Below are 27,665 nucleotides of genomic sequence, written 5' to 3'. Positions count from 1 at the left end.
ACCACTCTTTTAAGGCCTATTACTCCTAAATCAGATCTTTCTTCTGCACTCCAACTACCTGGATATATAGAACTGTTTCTCTTCCTTAGTTCTTTAAAGCTCAACATGTATAATTGTGGACTCATTCTTTTCCATTTTCCAGAATTCATTCTTTCTCTCATGTTCCAGCTCTTATTAAATAGTGTTACCACCTGCTAGGGTCCTAATGTTTGGGACCCCCTCAAAATTCACATGTAAAGGTATTAAGGGGTAGGGCTTTTGGTAGGTGATTAGTTTATGAGGCTGGAGCTTTTATGAATGGGATTCATTGCTTCATGAAAGAGGCCTCCAAAAATTGCCTTGCCCCTTCAACCCTGTGAAGATACAATGAAAAGGCACCATCTGTGAGGAAGTGGGGCCCTCACCAAACACTAAATCTGCTGGTGTCTTGATCTTGGACTTCCCAGCCTCCAGAACAGTGAGAAATAAATGTGTGTTGTTTATAAGCCTCCAGTTGATGGTCTTTTGTTATAGCAGCCAAAGGACTAAGACATCACATAACTTAACATCACCCTTAACGTCTCTCTCTCTTAATCTCTCAAATCCAGGCTATCATCAAATTCGGTTGATTCTGCTAAGACATTTCTCCAACTTGTTTTCTCTTCTCCATTCCTATTTCTGCTTGCTGGAAATCTCCAACTGATTGGCTTCTAGGAACTTCAAATTTAATATGTGCAAAGTCAACTTAATTTCCTTCTTTACTGCCTAATCCAAACCTGTTCCCCTTCTAATTGTATCTATTGTGGTGTATGGGAAGTAGGCCCAAAGAGAATTTTCAGTGTCATCACTTCAGTGTTTTTGTTGCCTCATATTCCCTCGGAACCCACATCCAGTCAATTGCCAATTCTGGCTGGTTGTATCTGCTAAGTACTCCTCGTAACATCCACTCCTCTGTCCCTAGTGTGGATACGTAACATTCAGTTCACCTCCTCTCCTGGTCGGCTGTGATGACTTTCTAGGTGATATCTGGACTTCTCTCTCCCCATGTTCACTTCAGCCCCTCATTCACACTGCAGCCAGTGCAACCTGTTTATCACCCAGGGCTGATCATGTGTAAAACTCTGACCTTGTTGCCTGATGTGGTTTTATCTAACTCGTCTGTCTATGGAATCATTTTTATTTCATTTTTTTTTGAGAAAATGTTTTAATATATCAGAGAATATCCCTTTCTGTACTGTGCAACAGAGCATATTATTATTTTATTTTTATCTGGAATGTTCTCCCCTCTCTTTTTTGTCAATGGTAATCTTACCCTTGCTTCCAAGGCCAGTGTGAATTCCATTTCCCTTTCATAGATAGCCCAGTGGGAAGTGGGAAGTGACTTCTTTCTCCTCTGAATTAGGATGGCCTAGACCACTTACTTAGCAATTATTACTTACTGCCTTGTGGTGGAATCTTTTCATAGACACATCTTGCTTTCTAACCTATTTGAAGATAGTCTCCTGACTTAGGTTTCTTTCCCTTCCCAGAGTGGCTAAGTTAGGTCTTGCACCTATGACTCAGGATTTAGGAGGTTGTTTTTAATTTTTAGGTTTCATTGTTAATGTTGTGTGTGCTTGTCACAGTTTTGTTATTTGTTGTTTTGTTATTATGCAAAATTTTTTAGCAATGAGATTATGGGTATAAACATTTTCGTGGCTCCAAGTAGTTTTCCATGTTACTTTTTAAAATGATTATTACCATTTTAATGTCTGTAATGGTGTTTTCTATTTATACTTTATTGTGTGTTTATCCTTTGTCATATATTTTAGCACCTTGTATTATTTTGTTGCTGCAACCTCAATACCACTTTATTTTGATTATTCTTTTGTTGCAATTATAATAGGTACAAGAGTACATCTTAAATCTGCTTTAACTTGCATTTCTTGGCTTACTATTTAAGCACCCTCCATGTGTTTTCCATATATTCTTTGTTTTGTTTTTATCCTTTGCCATCTATTTTTGTACCCTGTATTTTTGTAAATTATAATAAGCCATGCTTATTATAATAAGAAATAAGTAAAAGAGTCTCTACTTTTCAATTTCAAAAAGTTTAGATCTCTCATTTTTTTTTTCCTTAATGTTGTTTTTCTGTTGCTTTGGATTTGAGAAGGTGACATGTCCACAGGTCTGACATACACATTCAAGTTCATTTTCTATAAGCTTACTTTTATGTTCTATTGTGTTACGGAAGACTTCTGCAAAAGAATGACCCATAAGCACCTTTGGGAAATATTTTTTCTTGCCTTTAATAGCTCAATGAAAATCATCCTAAGCCAGTGACTTCCAGGTAGATTATGAAATGTTGCTGTGCGTATCTGAGTTGCCTCATAAAATGTAATATCCAGAAGGTACTTTACGATATTCTATTCTGTAAACAATATTTCATGTAATTTAATTCAGTTCAGTTGCAGAGGTTTCAATACATATTTGAGTTTTTCCTAGATTTTGCCATAACTCACAATAATGAAATTTAATTGCCAGAGTTTTTAATCAGAAAGTTTATCCTCTGGAAAAATGAAATATATTACGGATATCCTTCACTTAAGGATGCTTTTGACTATGCCACATATTGATCTTAAAGGAAGCCTAGAGGAGGTAACAACCAGCTCTAGTAATGTGAAGGATGGAGATGAGGTCATTTTCAGACTGAAGTTAAGTAGTATCAGAACTGGAATTTACTCTTAGCCAATGAAAAAACTCCCACAATAAGAGGCAAATTTGTAGAATCCCCCAATATAGAGTCTCGTGGAGGAACACTTTTATAGCTGACACACTGCAGGCCCAGTCACCCAGGGAACAGGTACCACATTGTCAGTTTTCAGTAGTGCCCAGGGAACCATTTTAAGTGGAAATATTCTAATTTCATAATGGAAGCGAATGGCAAAGTAGAATTAACTTCACAGATTTTTAAAATAATAAATCTTATTAGAGGAAATGTATTGTTATGCTTTGAAGAATAATGGCCAGTATGATCATTTAAAAATACAGGCCAGTCGCGGTGGCTCACGCCTATAATCCCAGCACTTTGGGAGGCTGAGGTGGGCGGATCACTTGAGGGCAGGAGTTTGAGGCCAGGAGGGCCAACATGATGAAATCCTGTCTCTACTAAAAATATAAAAATTCACTGGGTGTGGTGGTGCATGCCTGTAATCCCAGCTACTCAGGAGGCTGAGGCAGGAGAATTGCTTGGACTCAGGAGGCAGAGGTTGCAGTGAGCTGAGATCACACCACTGCACTCCAGCCTGGGTGACAGAGTGAGACTCTGTCTCAAAAACATAAAAAATGAAACATAAAAATAAAAATACATAGGTGATTTTTTACACAGGAACTCTTCAGTATCTTAAAAATAATCTAGTATGCTTACTTAGATATTATTTCATCCTCCAACTTTCTGAAAATACTAAAATCTTTCAGGAAAGAAATTACCATATTCTGACATTTTAGTATTAGTTGGATCCAAACATAATTTCATGCTTATTTCCTTACTTTTAAAAAAACTGTCATTTTCTTTATCTCTCTCTCTACTTAAAAACAAAGATTAGTTTTTGGCCTTCATTAAATGCCACAACAAAATTCAGCCAGATGCTGCTTCAGCATCTTGCTATTTGTTGGAGTGTCTTAGACACCCAGAGTATTACATTTCAAGTGAAGAATCAGACTTATCATAGAATCCTTAGGGCTTGAACAAACTGAAAAAACAAACAAACAAACAAGAAAAACTGGTTGTATGATAACCAACCAGAAAATCATGATGTTTGCAATTTCTAGTACCACCGCTAAGAGCTTTGCAATCATGCCATCCTTGTTCAAGTTCACCTATAGGAAGTAATGCAAAGCTTCCAAAGCAAATTTTGGGCTGTTTTGCTCAAAAATACCTTGTGTTTTTTTATTTGTTTGTTTGTTTGTTTAAGATAAATTCACTTTTATTTCATTGTTGCAGTAGAAGTTATACCAAAAGACTTCGGGGTGTGGGGTGGCTTAGTGTATGTAAGAGGAAGTATACTACAGTAATTGTAAGCTTACTTTATCTTGTTATTTTGTTTGTTTTTTCGTTTGTTTTTTAAATAAAGAGAGATGGGATCTCGCTTTGTTGCCCAGGCTGGAGTGCAGTAGCACAATCATGGCTCACTGCAGCCTCATCCACCCAGGCTCAAGTGATTCTCCCACCTCAGCCCCCCAAGTAGCTGGGACTACATATGTGAGCCACCATGATTGGCCCTGTCTTGTTATTTTTAAATGGCACTTAACACACATACCTCATGTCAATACTTGAATGCACTCTAAAAATGATTATTTTAACAAGATTATAACTTATCTCTTAACTCTCAGTCACACTAAGGAAGAGATTGAACACTGGATATCTAGAGCTACTTGACCAAATCAAAACTATGTATTCTTCCCATTCAGAACAATCACGTTTGTTAATTTATAATAATCGATGATAATTAGCCCATGAATTGAAAAGCTATTTTTTACAAAATCAGAAAATACAACCAACTTTAATTTAACTGCATTAAGGCGGGAACCACATCTCTTGTGGCAGAGAGAAGTTCAGTGTTATGATTACTGTAAAAATAGTTAATACATAGATTTAAAAAGATTTAATGGAAATTTCTTTTCATGATAAAATGGAAATGTATTAGCATAAGGAAATCAATGGAAATTTATTAGCATAAGGAAATCCATCTGGGCCTTTCCTGAATTCCTGAATAGTGTCACAGACTCTAAATGACTGTGGTGTGTGATCTTGGATTTGGTGGCAGCTCCTTCTCCTTCCTTTAGCTGTTGCTTTCCTGTTAGCACAGTATCATCTGTTACTGGAGTCTCACATCCTTCTCTAAGATTCTCATTCCAGTCTTTAAATCTGATTATCCAGCAGAGGAGCCTCACATTTACAGCTCAGATTAAACACATATTTCTTCTGATCATTGTTGCTTGAACCAAACCAGCAACGCCTTCTCAGTGTAACTGGAGAACTTTCTTATGCTTTTAAACATTTTCAGGGTGCTTTATCTAAGAAGATATTTTTAAAAAGTGTTTATTTTCTCTTTTAACAAACTCACTCCATGTTGCTATGTTCTTTAAAACTGCTCCCTCTTCTAATTTAATATATTTTTAAAGTTTTTGTTGAAATGTAAACTGCTCTCTGTATCTTTGTTTTGCTTTTAGTTATTAGCTTAGTATAGAAACTTATAAATAATCAGACAATTGCATATCTTCAGTTAGCACAGAATTCTGACAGAGGCTAGCTTTGCCAGCTCAGTTACATGCTGTGTGTCTCACTGGGGAGTGTTAGGGCATTCTCACATTGACATGGACCCAACGTGGTGTCCACTGGTAACTGTTCAATATAAGACCTGCTTACCGATTTCTAGTAATTTTGTTTTTGAATTTTTCTTTCAGGCTTACTGCACGATTAGGGTATGTAGCCTCAGGTCATTTTCACTCACATAGCAGGTTTGTATTTGAGATCACTTTGATCTCTATCTTCTAATTTGATCTTCAGAAAAACCTAATGAGGTTTTGTTTTATAGATAAATAAACTACCACCCAGAAATCTGAGGGACTTGTCCAAAGTCACATGCTTGGAGAGGCCAGGTCTTGAGCCCGAATTTCCAGTTCTCTCTTCCCACTATCATGTGCAGGTCATCACTCCATGAAAACTCCCAAAACACTGCTGTTTCTATAGTACCCAAATATGCCTTTCTCAGGATTTAAGAAAATATCAAAAATACATATAAGTTTTTGATATTTACTTAAATCCTGAGGAAGGCATAGCTGAGACAAGTCATGATCTGCCAGGTGAATAGAAATGGGGTTGGTTAAACTTGCACTATTCATACAACTTCTAGTGAGGCATAATGTGTATGTATACACATTAGAGAATATTTTAAGAACATCTGCAAAACAAGTGTTCAGTAACATGTATAACTGCTCTTTTTAACTTTTGAAGGCCTGCTTCAGTTATTTTTATGTGACTACTTATTCTTTGGCCTTGGATGCTTGCACTGTGAATTTAAAAATAATACAAGGACTTAGATAAAAGTCAATGGGCTGTGTTAGATTAGGCCTCGGTCATTTTACCTACAATTATGAAGGTCTTTCAGCATTTTTACCTATTCCTAGTTACAAAAACTTATTAACACAGAAAAAAAGCCATTACAAAATCTTTAATTTCAAAAGGCTTTGACCTAACTTTATGAAATATGTATTTAGAATTCGTCATTTTACAATTTGTTGTCTCTTGGTTCATGTTTTTCTTTTTTGTGTGTGTGATCTACATCTACTTAATAGTCTGATTATTTTCATTAAAAGATTTCCTGCTAAGGAGTCACTTTTAATAAACATTTACTTATATTTATTTTAGAGCCCATTTTTGAAGCTGTAGTTTGTATGTTGAACACTTCTAAAACCTCTTACTTATGAACAAGTATGAATTGACCTTATAGTATGTGTGGATCACTGTGATTGGCACTATATAGATGAGAGAAAGGAAGGGTGATTATTTGCTTGCTTTTGGAACTTTACTGGGCTTTACAAAATCTTTAGCATCAACTCTCATCAAATTCGTAAATTATATGACTATTTTAAGATGCTGTATTCTGATTCATTCTTAGTGTTTAAATTATCTCAGGTAGCAAATGGAGGTACTTCCAATTTTGAAATTTTCTGCAGATTTAAGTATCTCTAATTCCCAAAGAATATTTTCTATTTTAAATTCACTTTCACACTTCTCTAAGGTCTTTTCAAGTAGATCAGCATTTCTATCACCGACCTTAAGATGAGGAAATGGAGGAATAATGTTTTGTTTTGTTTTTCCAGGATGTGGATCTGTTGCTGACAGTGCCAGATTAGCAATCAGAAATCTTTCTTTTTCCCTAATTATTAATCACACTTCCATTGTTTGAAAAGTCAGGGCTAGCTCTTGCCCCTAAGCAGAAAAGGCAAAAGAGAGGATAAGTAGGAAAAAAGAAATGGGCATATTTTAGTATAAATTTAAATATATTTCTCTCTTCCTTAGGAGAGAGTTATGTATGTGGCTCCATAGAGCCCTTCAAGAAACTGGAGTACACCAAGAATGTGAACCCCAACTGGTCGGTGAACGTCAAGACCACCTCGGCTTCTCGGGCAGTGTCTTCACTGGCCACTGCCAAAGGAAGCCCTTCAGAGGTGCGAGAGAATAAGGATTTCATTCGGCCCAAGCTGGTCACCATCATCAGAAGTGGCGTGAAGCCACGGAAAGCTGTCAGGATTCTGCTGAACAAGAAAACGGCTCATTCCTTTGAGCAGGTCCTCACCGATATCACCGATGCCATCAAGCTGGACTCGGGAGTGGTGAAACGCCTGTACACGTTGGATGGGAAACAGGTAAGAGACATATTGTGATGTGACTTTGACTTTAAGGCAAGAACCAGGGAGTCGGAGGGTGTACGTGGCTAAAGCATACATTTTGCTCAAGTTGTTAAAGGGCCTGGGTCACTTGATCAACAAATATGTACTTGCTGGCCCTAGAACAGTCAGAAGTTTGAGTTGAGCAGGATTATTCATAGGAATAAAGTAAGAAAAAAATGCATATCTTTGAAGATTAAATAATTACTCAGTGATTTCTACTTGTTCATTTATTATTTGCTTAACATAATGATTCTTTTCTGTCATCTGTTTTCAGTTTTCTCATAGATCTTATAGCCTGAAGAATGAATGACTGAGGTGTGAAAGTAAACTCTGACCAGTAGGGAAAATTCTAACTTATTTCTTTGACCTAAATATTTTATGATTTTAAGTCTTTGTAGTGTTCGCTAGTGAGATTTACTTACATTTTATAGATTTTAAAATATGTATCTAAGAAATGACATATTTCCATCTGGATAGCTTTAAAGGCATATTTCTAGAATAGTACGCATCTTGTATTTTTCAGTGTTAAAATGAAAGGGAGGTTTTTCAGCTACAGAATGAACATCAGTTGACTTGGATGGGTGGTCATTTTAATGTGAGTTGGTCAGATGAACCCAAAGGAAGCATCACCTTTTATTGTCTTGGGTGGACTATTTTTGTACAGGTTTGACAGAACCTTGATGGTGAGTTGAATTAAAAAACATTGATTAGGGCCGGGCACGGTGGCTCACGCCTGTAATCCCAGCACTTTGGGAGGCCGAGGCAGGCGGATCACGAGGTCAGGAGATCGAGACCATCCTGGCTAACAGGGTGAAACCCCGTCTCTACTCAAAATAAAAAAAAAAAATTACCTGGGTGTGGTGGTGGGCGCCTGTAGTCCCAGCTACTCAGGGGGCTGAGGCAGGAGAATGGCGTGAACCCGGGAGGCGGAGCTTGCAGTGAGCCGAGATCGCACCACTGCACTCCAGCCTGGGTGACAGAACAAGATTCCGTCTCAAAAAAAAAAAAAAAAAAAAATTGATTATATGTACAGCATGATTTGCTAGTCATTCAGAGTTTACCAGATTATACTTTTGAGCACACTATCTTTGCTGGAAGTTTAGTTTTTAATGTGGTGCTATCAAAATGCTTTTTTAAAAAATTTTTTTTGAGGGATAATTTGAATGATTTGTATGTATAGTAAATATTAAAATTAAAATGATCCATGAATTAAAAGATTGATCTTATTAAATAGAAGACTCCTCCAAGTTCTTAAAGGCTAGCGCATTCAAACTTTCTGAATTAGAAATAGATGCTAATCCTAGAAAGAGTATTAGTCATGAAAGAATACTTCCCTTAGGGATCCATTCAGATGCTCTAAATTATAAAATTCATTAGGAAAGAAGGAATATGTGCCAGTTGTTCATTTGTATTTACCATCTTTTGCTTGGCTTATAACCCTTGCCCTAAGTAATATGCGGATAAGGATTCTAATGGATGAGATTCTCTAATGAATGAGACTTAGTCTTCTATATTTAAGAGTCTGTAGCCTAAATGTCGTAAATCTATCAATGACCAGAAAGTTCATGCTGGCTTGTGAATTATAGTAGCAATAAGATGGCAAACTTCACCTTTACACATTTTGTAAGCCCTTCACTGGCTCCATTTCTAATGAGTTATTCAAACATCTTGTAGTTCTGAATTTTCATATATTGAATTTTCTCAAGATGGGAGTTCATCTATTTTCATAAATATTTACCTATTCAAATAAATATTTTTATAAAGTGTCTCATTAGAGCAAAGAATACATATGGATAAATGTTCCCTCTCCCTGCTGCACTTCAGAATTTTGGGAGTTCCAAAATGCTACTCTGAATCTAAAAATCGGCTTTAATGACTTTAGCTAAAATTTGCCATCAGCTGATTATTTAATTTTGTTTATTTCAGGAATAAATCCCTACAATAGGTATGATGTTCTCAGTTGTTTTCTTCCTTACTGAATTTGTCTAGAATTAATATTTGATAATGGCTAGTTTACTGTGGTTTACATGTAAATAATCCAAAGTCATGGGACGGAATCCGAGGTTTAATGTCAAAAAACCAGGATTCAAGTCTTGGCTCAGCCGTAGATTCCTTATGTTTTTAGCAAAACACTTAACTGAGCTTCATTATCCTCATCAGTGAAACACAGATAAAATGATTACCTGTGTTTTATAGAGTGCTGTGGGTCAACTATGATGATACATGCAATAGCAATTTTGAACTATAATGATGATAGCTTTATTGAGCATTGTTCAAAGTGCTTTGCATGTATTAGCATGCTTAATCCTCATAACAACTTGCTTATTATCCCCATTTAACAGATTAGAACACTAAGGCACAGAACTCGTTAAAAACATGCACAAGACCACACAGCTACGATTTAAACTGGTCTTGCTCCAGAGCTTGTGCTGGTAACCACTGTACCACTTTAGATTATGTTAAGGCACCAAACTGATGTAAATGTATTGAGAAAGAATTGTCAAGGGAGTAATTTGTCCAAAGAATATCATCTGAAACATTTCTGCTCTGTCCTTTTTTTCCCTGCAGTCATTCTGCTGACTGTTGTACTCAACTGTTGTTTTGTCAAGCGTTCAGTTTGCTGCTGTGGCATTTCCCCTAGTGTTGGCATGTTCTCTTCATAGCAGGATCAGTGAAAAGCTGCAGAGGAATTGGATGATAAAGTGGAAAGAACATAAAGACTTATTCGTTGGGTTCCCAGTGAGAACAAAGATGCTTCCTCATGGACCCCAGGAGTCTTTAGAATCTTTTTGGCTCAAAAGAGAAATCTGTCCCATAAGCAGTTTGTTAGAGTAGAATTTTTGACAACCCTGGCAGAGACTGAGGCTTGATAAGCCTCTGAGAATAAATCAGTTTCCTCCACGCTGTCCTGTGGAATAACGCTTGGCCATAGTGGGGTGGCACCTGCACTGCTACCATCTTGGCCTGCCTGTGGTGGCATCGGGGTCCATATGCTGCCAACAAGATGCCACCCTAAGATTACTTGTCCCACCTTTTTAAAAAATAGTTTAACTGAACCCTCACATCAACTCCATAAACAATATGGGAATTCCAGTGCCCAGTAAAGAATTTCATGTTTTTGGGTTGAGGAAATAGAATTGTTTAAAAAATGAATTGCTTGAGTGCTTTGAGTAAATGCGTAGAGAGGAAGATGGTTTTGTAGATTGCCTTGGGGCAGCCTACAGATGTATCCATGGCATGAAAACTGTTGACGCTGGGATTTTGGACAATGGAACCATGAAAGCCGGAGCCTGCTGTTTAATATCTTACCCAGAGGAGACGGACACCGGAGGGCACAGACCACATGCTGTTCTCACTTGTTTCTACCACCACTCCTTGCTCAGTTGCCTCTCGGGTTTGTGTTAGCCCTAAGCAAAGAGTTCATTGAACAGTACTTTTTTTGATGTTTTTAGACTGAGATAAGGAAATAAACGTTTTGGAAATGCTGCACAATCTAGAAAAGATTTTGCAGGAAGCTGCAATTGGCCAAGATGACCGTTGTGGTTCATAAGCAGCCTATGTGTGAGCAAACCCTTTCTAATGATTTCAACTCCATTCTTTATTCAGGGGCACTGAAGCTTCAGCAAATGGTTGCCCCGACCTTCCTCCTCTTCCTTGCAACTTTCAGGGTGACTGCTCACCAGGTCATCAGTCCTTTTGCTGGCATGGCTGGCAGTTCAAGGAAGCACTTACCATGCCTTAATTTCAGTGATGCATTTTTTTTTTTTTTAAATCTGGGCCTTGGTTAAAGACCTCCAAAGAAGAAAAAGGGACATTTTCTAGCTAACAGTTAAAATCATGTCCCCTGAACCCATGTCCAAGGGGAGGATCTGCAGGATCTTAGAGTCTGAGAGTCTCTTCCTCTTGCCCAAGTCCAAGCTCTGGATGTTGGAACTTTGCTGTGGGTTATTCACTTAACCTGCCAAGCAGTTACTCCCAGAGGCCATTTGGAGTATAACTATTTTTTAAGTGCTTAAAATAAGACTAAAAGTTACCAGATTTGCTACAAAGATACCCTTGCATATCTCCTGACTCCTTTTATGGAAAAGCAAATCTGGCTTTCTTGAGCTGCTAAATCTGTGGTTCTTGAATCCGTCCTTAGAAACATAGAACAGCTAGTGCCTAAGTAGGTGATTTATACTATAAAGAACATAGATAGGGCACTTCCCAATGATCCCCTTCCCACTGAAATACAGCAATGACAAACTGGATTGCTCTTTAAGTAGAAAATAAATGCACATCCCTATCTTATCTACTTTTCAACATCAAAGATCTGTACAACATTGCAGCATGCTTTAGTGAAGAGAAAAAAACCCAGAGATGTTATATTTTTATCTTATAGACATTTCACATAGGCCATGTACTTTATAAAATCTACCACTGCTAGTGAGTCGAGATCGCGCCACTGCACTCCAGCCTGGGCGACAGAGTGAGACCCCGTCTCAAAAAAAAAAAAAAAAAAAAAAAAAATCTACCACTGCTAGCATGCTAGAGTGAGCAAACAATTTATTGTTTTCCCAATATGGAAAACATTAGGAATTACTCAGCTGAAGTATGGGTAGCCATAAACTGATTTCGATGGTAAGCCATGAGAAAGCATCATAACTGCCATTTTGAGGACATCCCAGTAGCTGTTGATAAATTAATCCATCATTACATCTTCTCTGTATCTTTTGATCATGAATCCTCATTGCCTGTTATAAAGCTCAAAAGATGCTTGTAAATGAGTCAATAATTGCCGCCATTTATTTTAGGTGTTTAATATAGGAGTTTACTTGATTACAGGAAATGGTAATGATGATTAATAGGAATCTATTAATCAGATATCACAAAATGGTCTTTATTTTCTTCTTTTTGGCCTTTAATATCTAATTCTAATCTGAAGTAAAAATAATTTGGTCGACTCTTGGGTTTAGAGTGCTTAAGATATGTCTTCCTCTTACAAGTTAAAAAAGTGGTACAAATTATTATTGCATCTGACCTTGGCTATAGGAGTTGATAAGCATAGAAAATGTGGAAACTAGAGGTTTCCAGACAAAATGTAAGAAATTTAGAATCTGATAGGATTTATTTGGAATGGGAAAGGAGGTTTTCTGTAGCTATTAGCAGCAGTGGTATTTTTCCTTTTTTATTAGTAGAACTTTTCTGTGACAGTTCTAATTAACTTCTGCAAGCATATTAAAACCCTTCATTCTTGGTATAAAGAATGTGTACTATTGATTTGCTACACTACCTATGTAGCAAAAGGGAATGTAATACTTTTTAGTTTTGTTTGCGATTGGAGTAAAAAAACAGTTGATACAAGTAATTTAGCTTACACTTTAAAATGTCAAATTAAAATTCTCTACAAAAGCTCAGAGCACATGTTAAACCATCCTCATGATTTATTAGAGCTATGAATTGATGGAAATAGATGATTTCAAAGAAAAAGAAGTTTAAGAATCGTAATGACACTTCACTTACAGAATTAAAGTGTTCAGAATAGAATGTACTATTTTAGGTCACATATCCTTGGTCAATATTTAGGACTCATGAGCTATACCTGTCCTTATGTAGATGTTAGTGCCTCCAAATTGGGAAGATTTAAGTCCTTTTTTTTTTCACTTTGAGCTCCTCTGAGGATGTGATCAATTATGGGTACCTGCAGTGATGTATATTTTAAGGCTTAGATTCATTTTAGCAAAAGTTAGTTTTCTGTAAATTGCATTCTAGCTCGCTGTAAAATGAATTCTAAGTTCTCTTAGTGTTCCACTGCTGTACTGAAGATAGGTTTTCTAAAGCCCTTCCATAGTGTGCTGAGAGCATTTGGGGGACGTTTACAAGTCTACTGGCTTTGTGATTGCCTTCTGGTGGTGAGTTCTCTTGCTTCTATGACAGCTGGAGCCCTGACCCGGCCTGTGAGCCTTTTCTGTCTGGCAGGAGCATGTTGGGATGATGGAAAGAACTTGGACTTTAAAGTCAGCTGGTCAGTCAGTTATCCCTGCAACAAACAAACAAAAAAATTCAGCTGAGCCTGGACTGAGATTTCAGTCTGGAAAATCTAGCTTGTGGTTTTTCATCCAAGCCTGGAAAATTAAGTTAGCCTACCCAACTTACTGATTAGTTAAGTTTAAAATTTCTGTATATTGAATTTACTTATAATGAGGAAATTTGCTTATGTATGCTATAAATTAAGCATAGATATACATGATAACATGACAGAGAGGAAAAACATTAGTTCCATAGAATTATAGATGAGTTCAAATCTGTCCTCTACTCTGGGCATAGTGAAATTTATCCTCCTATTGGAAATAGTTCACACCCTGATAATCCTCAGTTTCATCATCTGTATATTGTGAATAATAATAATGATAATAATGCCTGCTCTATAAGTTGTCATGAGGACTAAATGAAACAATTCACATGGCAAATTTAGCACTGTGATTGGTACCCAATTGTTGGTAGTTGTTATAATGGAAAAGCTGACACTTAACAAATTTTTTTTGGAAAAAAATCATATTTTAATGTGCCAAAGGGACTCACTATTTTAAATTATCCTTTTATAATGACTAATCATATTTTCCTTTGTAAATGTGGCTTTTCACATGGAAATGCTTCATGATATAATAAAAAGAGCATGGAATTCGAAATGAGACACTTAACTAATACAAAGTCAAATCCTGACTTGAATACTCATTAGTAGTGTGACCTCTGGCAAATCAGTTAAACTCTCTGAATCTCAATTTCCTCTTCTTTAAGATGGCATAATAATGCATACCTCATAATATTGGGGTGATAATTAATTGACAAAATATGTATATAAAGGCCTTGGCTTGACACATGGTAGGTCCTCTAAAAATATCAGTCCTTCTCCCTTCTGTTCTCATATTCCAGGCTTTCTTAAAACTGTAAGACCCTTGTAGTTGTATAATACCATGAATGTAGAATTGGTCATTTTGCATAGTTTCCATTGCAACTGATCTGCTGTACCTGAACTACTAACAACTGTATTTTTATCATCCCATTTATTGTCAGTCAGTTGTGAATGCGATGCAGATATTTTATTCACTTTCTTCTTCAATGGTACAGGTCATTCCTTAAAGGCATCTTTCTATTGGCAATCCATCCCACCGAGAAAGTAATATTATTATTAGTATCATTTGTTGAATACCTTCTCTGTGCCTGGCATTGGACTCGTTGCTATATATATTTATATTGATGATTACATTGATAATTGAAGGTAATCTCACTGAACCCCAGCTCTGCAAAGCAAGAACCTACTCATTTCTCAAGATTCAGCTCAAAGGTGGCCTTGTCTATGAAATATTTCCTATCTTCCCCATATAAAATTGACAACTCACTCTCTTGGAGCCTGTTCACTGTACATTGTATGTAGCCATGCAAATCTTCATTATGCTGGTCTATTGTAATGCCTGTCTCCTCCTTTCGATTTTATAGGATGAGGCTAAGAAAGGTGTTCTATTGGCCTTTGAGTCTCCAGAGCTTGACCTGGTAAATGACTGAATGACTAAGTAGCTGGATGATTGACCAGTTTGCTGTGGTCTATCCACTCGGCATTAGCATATGGCTCCAGTATTCAGCAAGGTCCTTACGGGTCATGGCCATATAGGAGCTGCCTTGGTCACCCTGGGCTGTGGTCATGTGTAGCTGTAAATGATGATGGTGCCCTCTGCAGCGTGGCCACACACTACATTACCATGCACACCGCACCATGATGGTTGTTTCTAGCTAGGGCTTCTTCATGAAAGACTCTAGTATAGAAAATAAAAAGAACGCATCTGCCAATTTTAGATCATTTTCGCTATTGAAAGCACTTTCATTTTGTGGGGGAACAATAGATATTCTGTTAGAAACATCTCGCCGTCTGAGTCAGGAGAATTGCTGTAAACCTTCCTGACATTGCCTTAGCCATCCAGTGAATAAAGAGAAGAACTGATCAATATGTCCCATGGATATAAAAATTGGTGGTGGGCCAATAGGAGATGCACATGAAAAGCATCTGGCCTAATTATTGCAGAGACACAAACCTGCAGTATTCAAGGGTGTCTGTGGTGGCAGACTATAATATGTTGCACCAGATTTTCCTGATTAGTTTTTAAATCCTTGAAACTAAATTAAATGAAAGAAGTCTGTTTCAGAAATTAAATGGAACTTTAAAAATCCAATTTTAAATAGGAACTATATTGTAAACAACATGCCTTAGAAACAAAAGGACAGATGGGAGATTTATTTTTTAATTGGTCTTGTCCTTTGTAAGATTAATATATAATCAATGTAAAGAATTTTGAAGGAAATGGGAAAATATTAAGATAAGTTAAAATTACCCATAGTCGCATTGAGAAGATGACCCTTGCTCATATTTCGGTCTTTTTTCCTTTGTCTTTTTTTTTTTTTTTTTTTTAAGACAGGTGTCTTGTTCTGTCTCCCAGGTTGGAATGCAGTGGTGCAGTCTCAGCTCAGTACAACCTCTCCACCTCCCAGGCTCAAGTGATTTCTCCTGTCTCAGCCTCCCAAGTAGCTGGGATTACAGGCGCGTGCCACCACACCCAGCTAATTTTTGTATTTTTAGTACAGACAAGGTTTCACCATGTTGGCCAGGCTGGTCTCGAACTCCTGACCTCAAGTGATCTGCCAGCTTCAGCCTCCCAAAGCGCTGGGATTACAGGCGTGAGCCACTGCACCTGGCCCTGTCTTTTTCTTTAAAAACAAACAAACAAACAACAATAACAACAACAACAAAACCCCACAGATCCCACTCTGTGTGCAGTTTGGCTCCTTGCTGGCACCTTCACATGAGTCTGCACATTTATGTGGGAAACGTATCAAGCCATTCCCTCTCTAACTTTGTTATTTCATTGTCCAGGGTCAGATCCCCTGAAGCCAAGTTTCCCAGTGTGCTTTCCTGTCTTGTGACTTGTCTGTAGAGCCTCTTTTGTCTATCTTCTGACTTACGGCTGATAGTAATCATGTTCCAAAGTCGATCGAGAAGCAAACAGCATGTAAAGTAGCAATTCTTGAGGTGCTATTCAGTGTAATCAGTTATTGGAGGTTAAAATTATCTCAGACTCCATCTGCTTTGTCTAGAATCCTCTTAGAAAAAAAGTCACATTTTTCAAAACGTGTCTGATTCCATAAGTCCAGTCTTGTTTTGTACATGCCAGGTAACAGGCTTTTTAGGTCAATGGGAGCACAGTCACCATGATCTTTATGAGTTCCTCCCTGAGGGAAAAACACAAGGTAGTTCTCTTTCTGTGGATAATCACTTCTGCTTTGCCTTAGAACTGTTTGTACACCTGTGTGAGACCAAAATATCTGGGAGAAAGAAGATAGTGCTTTGTTGATTTCTGTATTCACGACTACCCTCATTAGATGCTTACAATTTGTTAAATGACATTTCTTAGTTTTAACTTTTGGCTCATCCTTTAACAAGTAGATTACAGGGCTAGGAGTGCCCCTACAAGAGATCTTTCTATTCCCTTTTTCTCTACTTGGAAGACCATAAACCAAAGTTGCCTTGGCAGATAGTAACATAAAATTGATTTTTTTTATTAAAAAAAAAATCTTCCAGGAAGAAAATAACTCAAGGTAAGCACTAGCTTAAAAAAAAAAAAAAAAAGATTAGACTAGACATTTTCCTTCTGATGCCTTTTCAGAGTGACAGTCTGGGAGCTAGAAACTGCTTACACAACAGAAATAAGTTGTAAAGAGTCGTGCTGTGTGCACAGGTGTATGCTTCATCAGTATTCTTAAAAACCTCACTATCGGCCAGGTGCGGTGGCTCATGCCTGTAATCCCAGAATTTTGGGAGGCTGAGGCAGGCAGATCACTTGAGATCAGGAGTTCGAGACCAGCCTGGCCAACACGGTGAAACCCCATCTCTAATAAAATACAAAAATTAGCTAGGTGTGGTGGTGGGTGCCTGTAATACCAGCCACTCGGGAGGCTGAGGCAGAAGAATCCCTTGAAACTTGAAGGCGGAGGTTGCAGTGAGGCTAGATGGTGCCATTGCACTCCAGCCCAGCCTGGGCGACAGAGTGAGACTCTGTCTCAAAAGAAAAAAAAAATTAAATAAATAAAAACCTCAGTACCAAGAGTGGTCCCGGGACAGCAGCAGCAAGGCCACCAGGGAGCAGGCAGAGATGCGGACCCTCAGGCTCCACACAGACCTACTGAGTCAGAATGTGATTTCAACAAGATTCTCAGGCTGTGTATATTCACATTTAAGTTTCAGAAGAGCTGCTCAGGAGACTGAAGAGTATGAATGGAACATCAGAATTCAAAGCCCTAAAGACGGCGAACCCCGGCTGTTGTTGCGTGGTAGATGCATTAAACATTAGTTTTAGCTGATTTCGCAGTTTTATTAGCATCCTCTCAATGCCAATGTTGACATCAGATGGCAAGATATGATTGCCAGCAGCAATTTTCTGGAAAGCAGCCAGTGCATTAGTGTGAAATGTGTTCTCACTGCAATCTAGCCTCAGTGGGCTGCCTCACGTGGAGGGTGAATGGCTTCCTGTATGGAGAATAAACGTAGGTTAAAGAGTCAGGAAGGCTGAACAAACACTGTGGAAACACGGATCCCGAGGAAGAGATTAATGCCACAAAGTGCATGTGCATGCTGTTAGAAGTTGTCTGTATCTCCCCTCAATACGCTGCACAAACTGAATATGATCCCTGTGCTGCTTCCGGGTGTCTTCTGTGGGAATGAATGGAAGTCATTAACTGGTCCTGAGAACCGATTTTAGATCTTCAACTATTATCAGATGGAGTCCCTACGCATGAGACAATTCCCAACATGGACGATGCCCGGAAAGATGTGGGCTGTTTTTAAGGTGTGCAGGAATGGAGGGGTAACTTTTGAAAATAATTTCCAGCTATAATAATTTTCTAGACATGCCCAAGGATTTAGTGGCCAACAGTCTTACGTACTGCAGACTTGACTATGGAAAACAACAATGGATGGGATAAACTGGTGTGAAGGAACCACCTAGTGATCAGAATTAGAGTGATTTTCTTATAACACAGCCTGGGAGGTTAAGAGACTGAGGGGGTGTCGCCTATTTAATTCAGCTGGCAGCTGGCAGGGGCTGCCCATGACTTAGGGCAGACAGGGCTTTGCAAAAAGCCATACAATGCCCAGCGACCCCATTAACAGGGCCTTTTTTGAATGGGAAGGTCAATTCCATTTCTGAGGTTATAGCTCTAAATTAGGGAAAAAATAATAAGCCCTAGAAATAAGTGGGGTCTGTATACAAAGAACCAGTAAAAGGTTCGTTTCTGTCGTTGGTTGATACAGTGCCCCTGGGAAGAGTAAAATTACTGACATATTTCTCAGGCCATTTCTGGAATTGGTCTCCTGTGAAAGGAATAGCGCAGGCTTATTGTATTTTGTTTCCTGGTAACATCATCATTTTTGTTTGTTTGTTTGAGACAAGATCTCACTCTGTCACCCAGGCTAGAGTACAGTGGTGTGACCTTGGCTCACTGCAGCCTCCACCTCCTGGGCCCAAGCAATTCTCTGACCACAGCCTCCCAAGTAGCTGGGACTGCAGGTGTCCACCACCATGCCTGGCTAATTTTGTGTGTGTGTGGTTTTTTTTTTTTTTTTTTTTTTTTTTTTTTTTTTGTAGAGACAGGGTTTTGCCCTGTTGTCCAGGCTGGCCTCGAACACCTGGACTCAAGCAATCCTCCTGCCTCAGCCTCCCAAAGTGCTGGGATTACAGGTGTGAGCCACCATGCCCGGCCAATCGTTTTCTTATATAGCAAAAATTGCTTTTCTCTTTATTTACATTGTGTGTCAAATTGGTAGACTTAGCCACTGTGTATTGAGAAAAAAACACATCCATTGATTAAATCCTTGCTGCATTTGGCAACAGTTTATAGGAAAAGGGAGAATTTCTGAAGATCATGCTATGATGCCTCTGGGATACGTTCAGTTGGAGAAAATCTAATCTCATGTATTATTGTATTGTACAGAGTGCCAATTATTGACAGTGACCATAAAAAACAAAGACCTGTTACAAAGCCTGTTAGGTGAACAGACTATTCACGGAGTTGTCTTTGGTTTTGCCAAATTGGATCAAGAGTTTCACCTGGGTTTTATTAAGATGATTGTGCTTTAGCTTTTTAACATAAATGTCTTTTAATGTTTAAAATGTGCAAGTCCTTGTAGACTTGTTAGATCCGGAAACATCGATTCAGCATGGATTCTGTGCCAGGCATTGGGAATACCTTAGTTTTCTTTCAGTGGGCAGTGGAAGACTTGGGAGAACTCCTCACAACAGAATCCTAAGGGAAGAGTCCTTTCAGACTCACTGCAAGTTTCATTACTAGAGAAACTTGCATTTTCACATTTGTATGTTCATGGGAGTATGAGATGATTGATACAGTTAATCTTATTTGAGGATGTCCTTGTACTGTTTGAAAATGTGACTGCCGAAACACTGTAACATTGCCTTCGTACTTTAAATAACTGAAAGATGTGTTTTATTTTATAGTTGAATTAATAACACTTCTAGCACATTAAGAATCCAAATAATGCTGGGCGCGGTGGCTCATGCCTGTAATCCCAGCACTTTGGGAGGCCGAGGCAGGCTGATTGCCTGAGGTCAGGAGTTTGAGACCAGCCTGGCCAACGTGGTGAAACCCCGTCTCTACTAAAAATACAAAAATGAGCCAGGTGTGGTGGCACGCACCTGTAATACCAGCTACTCAGGAGGCTGAGGCAGGAGAATCGCTTGAACCCAGGAGGCGGAGGTTGCAGTGAGCTTTGATCGCGCCATTGCACTCCAGCCTGGGCAACAAGAGCGAAACTCTCTCAAAAAAAAAAAAAAATCCAAATAATATTAAAAGCCTACTTTTGTGTACCAGCATGCTAATAAACAGATTTCCATTAAAATTAGTCCCTGTACTCTAAGCTTGTGGCATATTTTAGAAGCCCTTAAAATAAATACTAAATGTCCTAGCCCTCAGTTTTATGAGCCTGCACTTTCCCATTAAGATGTATTGGGAATCAGGTGTGTAAAGTTCCCATTCATTTTCTACCATCAGTTAACGTGAGAGGGAAGTTACTTTCAAAACTTTACAAGATTATCAAAATGCACGAGAACTTGACTTTGGAGATGTTTACACCCACATACCTACATTTTGGGGCACAAGAGAAATAGAGGAAGAACCAGAGGAAATGTGGATCTATTTTGAGGATTGGCAACTGTGTTTTCTAGGTCTTAAAATTACTTTTTTTTTGAAGACAAAAGTGAAGCTTTATGCTATGTATTTAAATAATTGCAAATCTCTCTCTCTCAGTGCTTCTCTCACCTGGAAGGACCAGTGTGAATGACCCCACTGTAAATGGATTCTGTTCATGTGACTTTTCGTTTGTCCTATTTGCCTTATAATTTGGTTTGACATCAGCTGAAGAAAGTGTGTCAGATCAGTTCTGGGATAGTGCACCAGCTCTGTGCCAGAAAATGAGTGATAACACCTTGTGTAATGAATCAAAAGTTGGAAGACATTTTCTGTTACAACAGCTGGAAACATTTTCTCCAGTTTACGTGAAGATTGCTGAGTAATTGGCATTCCAGGAAGGTAAAGGACCGGATCTGTCCCTGGGGGTGAGGCTTTGTAGAAAAGAATAAAATCATCTTGTATGTTGAATCCAGCCCAGGGATAATATCAATAAATGTAGAATAGCAGCTAGTGTTTCTTGAATGTTTACCGTATGCCAGGCACTAACTAAAATTTCGATTTTTTACCCCATTAACAGTATTATGGGAGTAGATACTATTGTTATCTCCCTTTCACAGATGCAGAATCAGGGGGAAAGTAACTGGCCCAAGTGATTAGTACCTGGTCAAGGCAGACTGACATTCTTAACCACAGTGTCATATCTGACATTATATAGTGTTTTCCAAATACTTTAAGTATATAAAATTCATGTGCATCTTTTTTTTTTTGGTAAGAATGCTCACAATTTATTGCTGAGCTTTATTGGTGTGCCTGCTGGAGTTTAAAAATACTTTTCTTCTGAAATTATCAAATTCCTGTGATTTGTCAGTCTTTAAACACATTGAGATTAATATACTACCCTGTTAAAAGGGTTAGACTGGGTTGCCAAAAGACAGTAAATGTTGAGAAAGCTACTGAAATGTCTTCTTTCAATTTCTTCTAAGTGTTTCTTGCTATTTTGATTCCTATTTGGATTGTTAATGATTATGAAAATAATCCATTTAGAGTAATTTTAAAAACTTAAGAATCTTACTTTAGATTATTATAAAAATTTATATTCCCAATAGTGGAAAAAGAACATTTTTAATGTAACTAACACATCACAGAGATATACAGTACAACTATTTTATAGAGTGTGAATATCGCAAAATTTAAAAACATGTCAACTTTAAAATAAAAAATGATTACAGCTTTATTAAGCTATAATTTTCGTACTACAAAAAGCACCCATTTTAAGTATATTATTTAATGATTTTAATAAATGCATAGAATCATGCAACCATCACCACATTCCAGTGTTAGACACTTTGACCAAGAAAGTTCCTTCATCTGCATTTGCAGTCAATCTGGGCTCCCACCCCTAGCCCAGCAGCCACTGATCTGCTTATTAGTCACATCAGCTTTTAAATGTTGACCTCATTTTTCTATCTGCTTTTATAGAAAAGTCTCCTTTCTACCTTCTAAGTCATTTGTGTAATTATGGATTCACTAAGTTCATCGCCTTTAACCTGTAACTGTAGCCTCCATCCTCTCCAGCTCGGTTTGACTAGCTCTGGGTTTTATTGAGGTTTTATAAGTAACTTATTACAGAGGTTATGTAGCCAGTTTCAGCACTGTGAGCCACTTATTATCTTTGCACTCTTTGCACATACGGCATTTCTGAGCTCACTCCAGACTTAGGTATCCAGGAGAAGAAAGCTTTCATGTTCATGGCAGGATGGAATAATTACTGTCTTCTAAGCCCTAGGGATGCTTCCTTGGGGTCTATTCTTCTCTCCTACCTTCTTGGGGCCCCATTTGGTGACATTTGCTTTGTTACAGTCCAAAATACCATTTATAAGCTGATTAGGTTTCACATGATATTAACATATTTCAAGCTGTGTATATCTTTTTGCATTTCATAGTTAAAATATGGCTTCCATGTGCTTTGTCTGTTCCTTGGATGAGATCCAATTATTTCATAATCTCTGTCATTCCCTCTTCATGGTGAGTTTCCCACTTGTCCTTTCATCACTTTGCTATTCAAGATCTTTGAGGACTTTTAAAAGATTACCTATTTCTTTCTTCTCAAGGAAAGAGACTTAATTGTGCATTTTAATATTCTGCCGTACAGTAAAGCTGCACCTGGGGGATTATGTTCACTGAACCATCATTGAAAATGCCTTTGTACTTCAGTGTTAAGATGCTGCTGGCCTTTGGATTCCAGAAAAGATTGTGTATTCAGTGTATACTTATCTTCTTTTTCTTGTTCAAGGCCATCTCTAAACCAAAAACAAGGACCGGTCTCCCCTGTGAAGCCTCTTACAAGATGGGAAAGAAAAGCTGGTCTCTGGCTGAGATTCAAAGGCCTTGGGCTTATATCTAGGCATAGTTCTGAGGTTAGTGAGGAACTGAGATTGCTTCCCAGATTTTTCTCCCTTTCTGACCTCCTTCTTGGTAATCTGTCTCTCCAAAGAACCAAAGGGGTTTTGGTGGTGGTTAGCTACATTAAAGAAAATTACATACAAAAAACCCTTTCAAAACCAATGGAACTTGTTTATAGTTTTTAACCCTCTCTTTTGGGGGCTTTATTATATAGGTCTTATTATTAAATTGAAATTAAATAAAATAGTGATTTAGTTTGTTTATTATATGGTTTATTGTAATTTCCTTTAGCTAAAGCTGACAACAGAAAATAATATCAATGAAATGGAAAAATTCTTTTAATTCCAGGAATTTAAGACAAAATCCTCTATCTTTAATTTAGTTTTTCTTATTTTATCTACAACAATGGCTCTTAAATTTTGGGGCTTGCATTCCCCTTTGAGAATCTTATGACTGCTATGGCCATATCCTCAAGAAAGTTATGCTTCTCAGATGAGGTAGCATTTAATTTTTCTACTATGTTTCTCAGCAGTGTTCAGTCTTTGACTCTCATATTTTGGGGGAAGGGGTGGTGGAATTTATATGTCCATGATATTTACTTATCCGGTGACATAAATCAAGTCTTGTTTTAGATCATCTTTAATTTTCTTGCATTAAGTAGTGGTTTTTTGGAAACATTTGGGAGTTTGAGCCCAGAAAGATATGAGAGAGCCGGGCACAGTGGCTCACACCTGGACTCCCAGCATTTTGGGAAGTTGAGGCGGGCGGATTGCCTGAGCTCAGGAGTTCGAGACCAGCCTGACCACCACAGTGAAACCCGTCTCTACTAAAAATGCAAAATATTAGCTGGATGTGGTAACACATGCCTATAGTCCCAGCTACTCAGGAGGCTGAGACATGAGAATCACTTGAACCTGGGAAGCGGAAGTTGCAGTGAGCCAAGATCACATCACGGCACTCTAGCCTGGGCGACAGAGTGAGATTCTGTCTCAAAAAATACAAAACAAAACAAAACAAAACAAAAAAAACAAAAAAAAAAAACAAAGAGAGAGAGATAGAGAGATATCAGAGGATACATTCTGCCACCTGTGTTCATTCATGACTGATTATCAAAAGAAATTTCTGGTTCTTGACAAAACATTTTCTGTTCATAGAGAAATTGTTCAGTTCAACTGGGCATGGGTTTGCTTTCTGTCACTTGCTGGAAATTCTTTACTGGAACAAAAAGTCTAGTGCTTGTGCATAAGGGAAGACATAGACATGTGGTCCTTCCTCACACCTGCTTCCTCACTCCTGCTTCCTTTTTGCTCCTCATTTTTCTTTTCCATCTTAACTTTTCCCCATCACTTGAGCCTTCAGTAAGTGTGAGATAATTTCACTTTTCTTCTCATGTGATTATTTCACTTACAGGAAATCATATTCCTGGCCCGAAATTGTTTCTTCTTTCACAGCAGATGCTCTCCAGGGCTCTTCATCATTTTGTCCTGAGCAATACATTTTCAAAATGTAAAGTGCTTCCCGGCTGATAGCTCTGGAGCCACTAGGGGGTTTAGGAATGTGGTGCAGTAACGACATTTGTCTTAATACCCTTTAAAAACTGTAAGTAAAGTATAATTATTGCTTAGAAACTTTTTCCTTAAAAAGGAATTGATTTTACAGCCACAGGGTGTATAGCAACTACCCATGACTGGCAGTTAGTGGGGATCAAGTAAGAGTCCGCATTTCTGAGTTGGTTTAATAACGCAACAGAACACCAACAGCTGATAGCTCCTGGTTTTGACCATTAAATTGCTTTAAATTGGTTTTATTCTAACTATCTGTTGTTAATTTTGTATTCATAACCATTGGTTAAATATAGGAGGTGAACAAGGAGCAGAATATAAATGACGATAATGCCAGCTTTTATAAAGCACGTTAAGGTGTTTCTAGCATTTAAGAAAATAATAATAAAAAGAAAATACAATGATAATTGAATCCAATGTAGCTTTTATTTACTGAGATTAAAACTGTCTGACTATGACTAAACAAGATGATTTGTGGAGGGGTGCAAAATTTATATCAGGTCAAAAAAGGCAGATTTTTAAAAAATGCTGTAACATATTTTAATTTGTCTACATTTTAATATAGACTTGACTCTAATGCCAAATAAGGTCTAGTCATTAAAAAAATTTTTGGCTGGGTGCCTGTAGTGCCATCTACTAAGGAGGATGAGGCAGGAGGATCACTGGAGTCCAGGAGTTTGATACCATACTGGACAATATGGTGAGACCCCGTCTCAAAATAATAATAATAATTTTTTGTGCTTAAATCATATATTTGCCATATAAATTAAAATTACCTGAAAATATGTAAGACAGGTTGATTGGGAAGAACAAACTTTGTCTTTATATTCCACAAATACTATCTAAGCTCTATTAATGTATTTCTAATTTTAAATATTTTATTTTAAATAACTATCACTAAAAAATGTCAAAATTATTCTAAAATTCCTTAGGGTATTTGAGAGGCTAAATAGTTCTGTGAAGGAATTCCTGAAAGAAAAAAAAAGGACTGGAAACATAGGGACATGGATTGTAGTCAGGTGATTGAATGATAATGTGCTAGCAATGACTTTGGGAATATCGAGGTCCTCAGGGGTCTCTAGCATGGTACTTTGCTTTGACCAGGTGCTTGGTAAATGTTTGTTCATTAAAAGAATTTATGTATATAATATATGGTACTTTAATCACACGGTGCTGTTTTCATTTAAAAACATGGAAGTCATGGTCTACTATATGGAAACTTAAGTAGGTGATTTGTAGCCACCATGGGAGCCCTTGGCTGGGAGATTCACTGTAGCAAATATCCTTTCACAGATCCAAGACCTGGTAGTACTGAATGAAGTGATGGTTTTACCCACATGATGACTTCTGTCAATCAAAATGAAAAATATACCCACTTTCTTATTCCTACCGACTTCTTAAATAATTTGCCAATCTGTTGCAAATATGGTACACTGCCAATTTTCAAAGTTAGCTATGTGAGCAGTCCTTCCTCCAATTATAGGACCAGTTACATAATGAAGGTTTGATGTAGAAGTAAGGATTTCAAGAACAGTCTGATGCTTGGCATAGAAGTAAGGATTTCAAGCTGCAGTCTGTTAATAGTTTTGAAGTATTGTTATTATTTTTGTCTCTTATTCGGGAAGGCCTAATTATCAGTGATGTTAACAATACTTTCCTCTCCAAAGCCATTTTTTTCTTTTTTTTTGACTTGTCTTATTTTCAAGCTTCTAAAATTCAGATTATACCTATTTTGTGCAGCCTGGGCTCTTGCCTAACATGCAAAGGATATTTAGACGGTAGAATTCATAGAATTTAGTAACTGATTGGATATGGGAAGGAACAGGAAGACGTGAAGAAAAGGAAAAGGAAAGAAAACGCCTCTCGCGGCCGGGCGCGGTGGCTCACGCCTGTAATCCCAGCACTTTGGGAGGCCGAGGCGGGCGGATCACGAGGTCAGGAGATCGAGACCATCCCGGCTAAAACGGTGAAACCCTGTCTCTACTAAAAATACAAAAAATTAGCCGGGCGTGGTGGCGGGCGCCTGTAGTCCCAGCTACTTGGGAGGCTGAGGCAGGAGAATGGCGTGAACCCGGGAGGCGGAGCTTGCAGTGAGCCGAGATCCCGCCACTGCACTCCAGCCTGGGCGACAGAGTGAGACTCTGTCTCAAAAAAAAAAAAAAAAAAAAAGAAAACGCCTCTCGGATAAGAGACATGCCTTGGGCAGCAGGGTAGACAGTAGTTATATTAAAAGTTAAATAATATAATAAGCATAACAACTAACAGCTATTCAGCTATTTGCCGTTGTGCTAGGAACTGTGTTAAGCACTTCATATGCATGATAAAATTTAATCCTCACACCAACTCTAGAAGGTAAGTACTATTTTTTTCTCTTTTACAGATGAGGAAACTGAGATTTAGAAGGGTTATATAATATGTGTGATATCACACAGCTATAAAAAAAAAACCTCAAGAGCCAGAACTCTTAGACATTAGTTGTCTTCCGGTCAGAAAAATAAAGCAGATTTGGAGTTGTATATGGTCAACAGTATCATAGCTGCTAAGTAATGAAATAAAATAAGGACTGTCTGACAACAGTATCACGTGCTGCTAAGTAATTAAATAAAATAATTCATTTAATAAAATACTATAAGGTATTGGCAAGTAGAAAAGATGATGAGAGGACATTCTAGGCAAAATAAACAACATAGAACATTGCCCTGGGCTAGGAAAGCAAGACAATTTGTCCAGAATGATGACAGCTGTATTGGATTTGGGGAGGGGTTGTGCTCAGGGCATAGGAACTAGGAACACAGATAAATGTGAAAAAGTAGTTAGAAAATGATGCCAGTAGTGGGGGAAATGGATAGCTATCGTTGGGAGTGGGAGGGAGGACCCAGATGAACAAGACACACAGCAGCCTTCTTACTGTCAACTTCAAGTGCTTTATCATATGACACATATCACGCTAGGAATGGTGGCTATTTTCTTTATCTACCTTGACTCATATATCACATATATTTATACCTCTGGGGTGTCATGACTGAAATAAATTTTCTGGACTAACTTTATAAATGTATA

The 27,665-nt window shown here is 37.9% G+C and overlaps 1 protein-coding gene across 6 annotated transcripts in view; it reads left to right on the top strand.

Annotated features, from left to right (window-relative positions):
* DCLK1 (doublecortin like kinase 1) overlaps positions 1-27,665 on the top strand; it is a 363,288-nt gene that overhangs the window by 12,682 nt on the left and 322,941 nt on the right. For all 6 annotated transcript variants that reach the window (NM_001330072.2, NM_001330071.2, NM_004734.5 and 3 more), the window contains exon 3: positions 7,043-7,389. In NM_001330072.2, the coding sequence (NP_001317001.1) occupies positions 7,043-7,389 (347 nt within the window). The remainder of the gene's footprint in view (positions 1-7,042; positions 7,390-27,665) is intronic.

This window comes from Homo sapiens, chromosome 13 (assembly GCF_000001405.40).
Source record: "Homo sapiens chromosome 13, GRCh38.p14 Primary Assembly".
Lineage (NCBI taxonomy): Eukaryota > Metazoa > Chordata > Mammalia > Primates > Hominidae > Homo > Homo sapiens.
The sequence above is the reverse complement of the archived record's forward strand: the minus strand, read 5'-3'. Positions and strand labels throughout refer to the sequence as shown.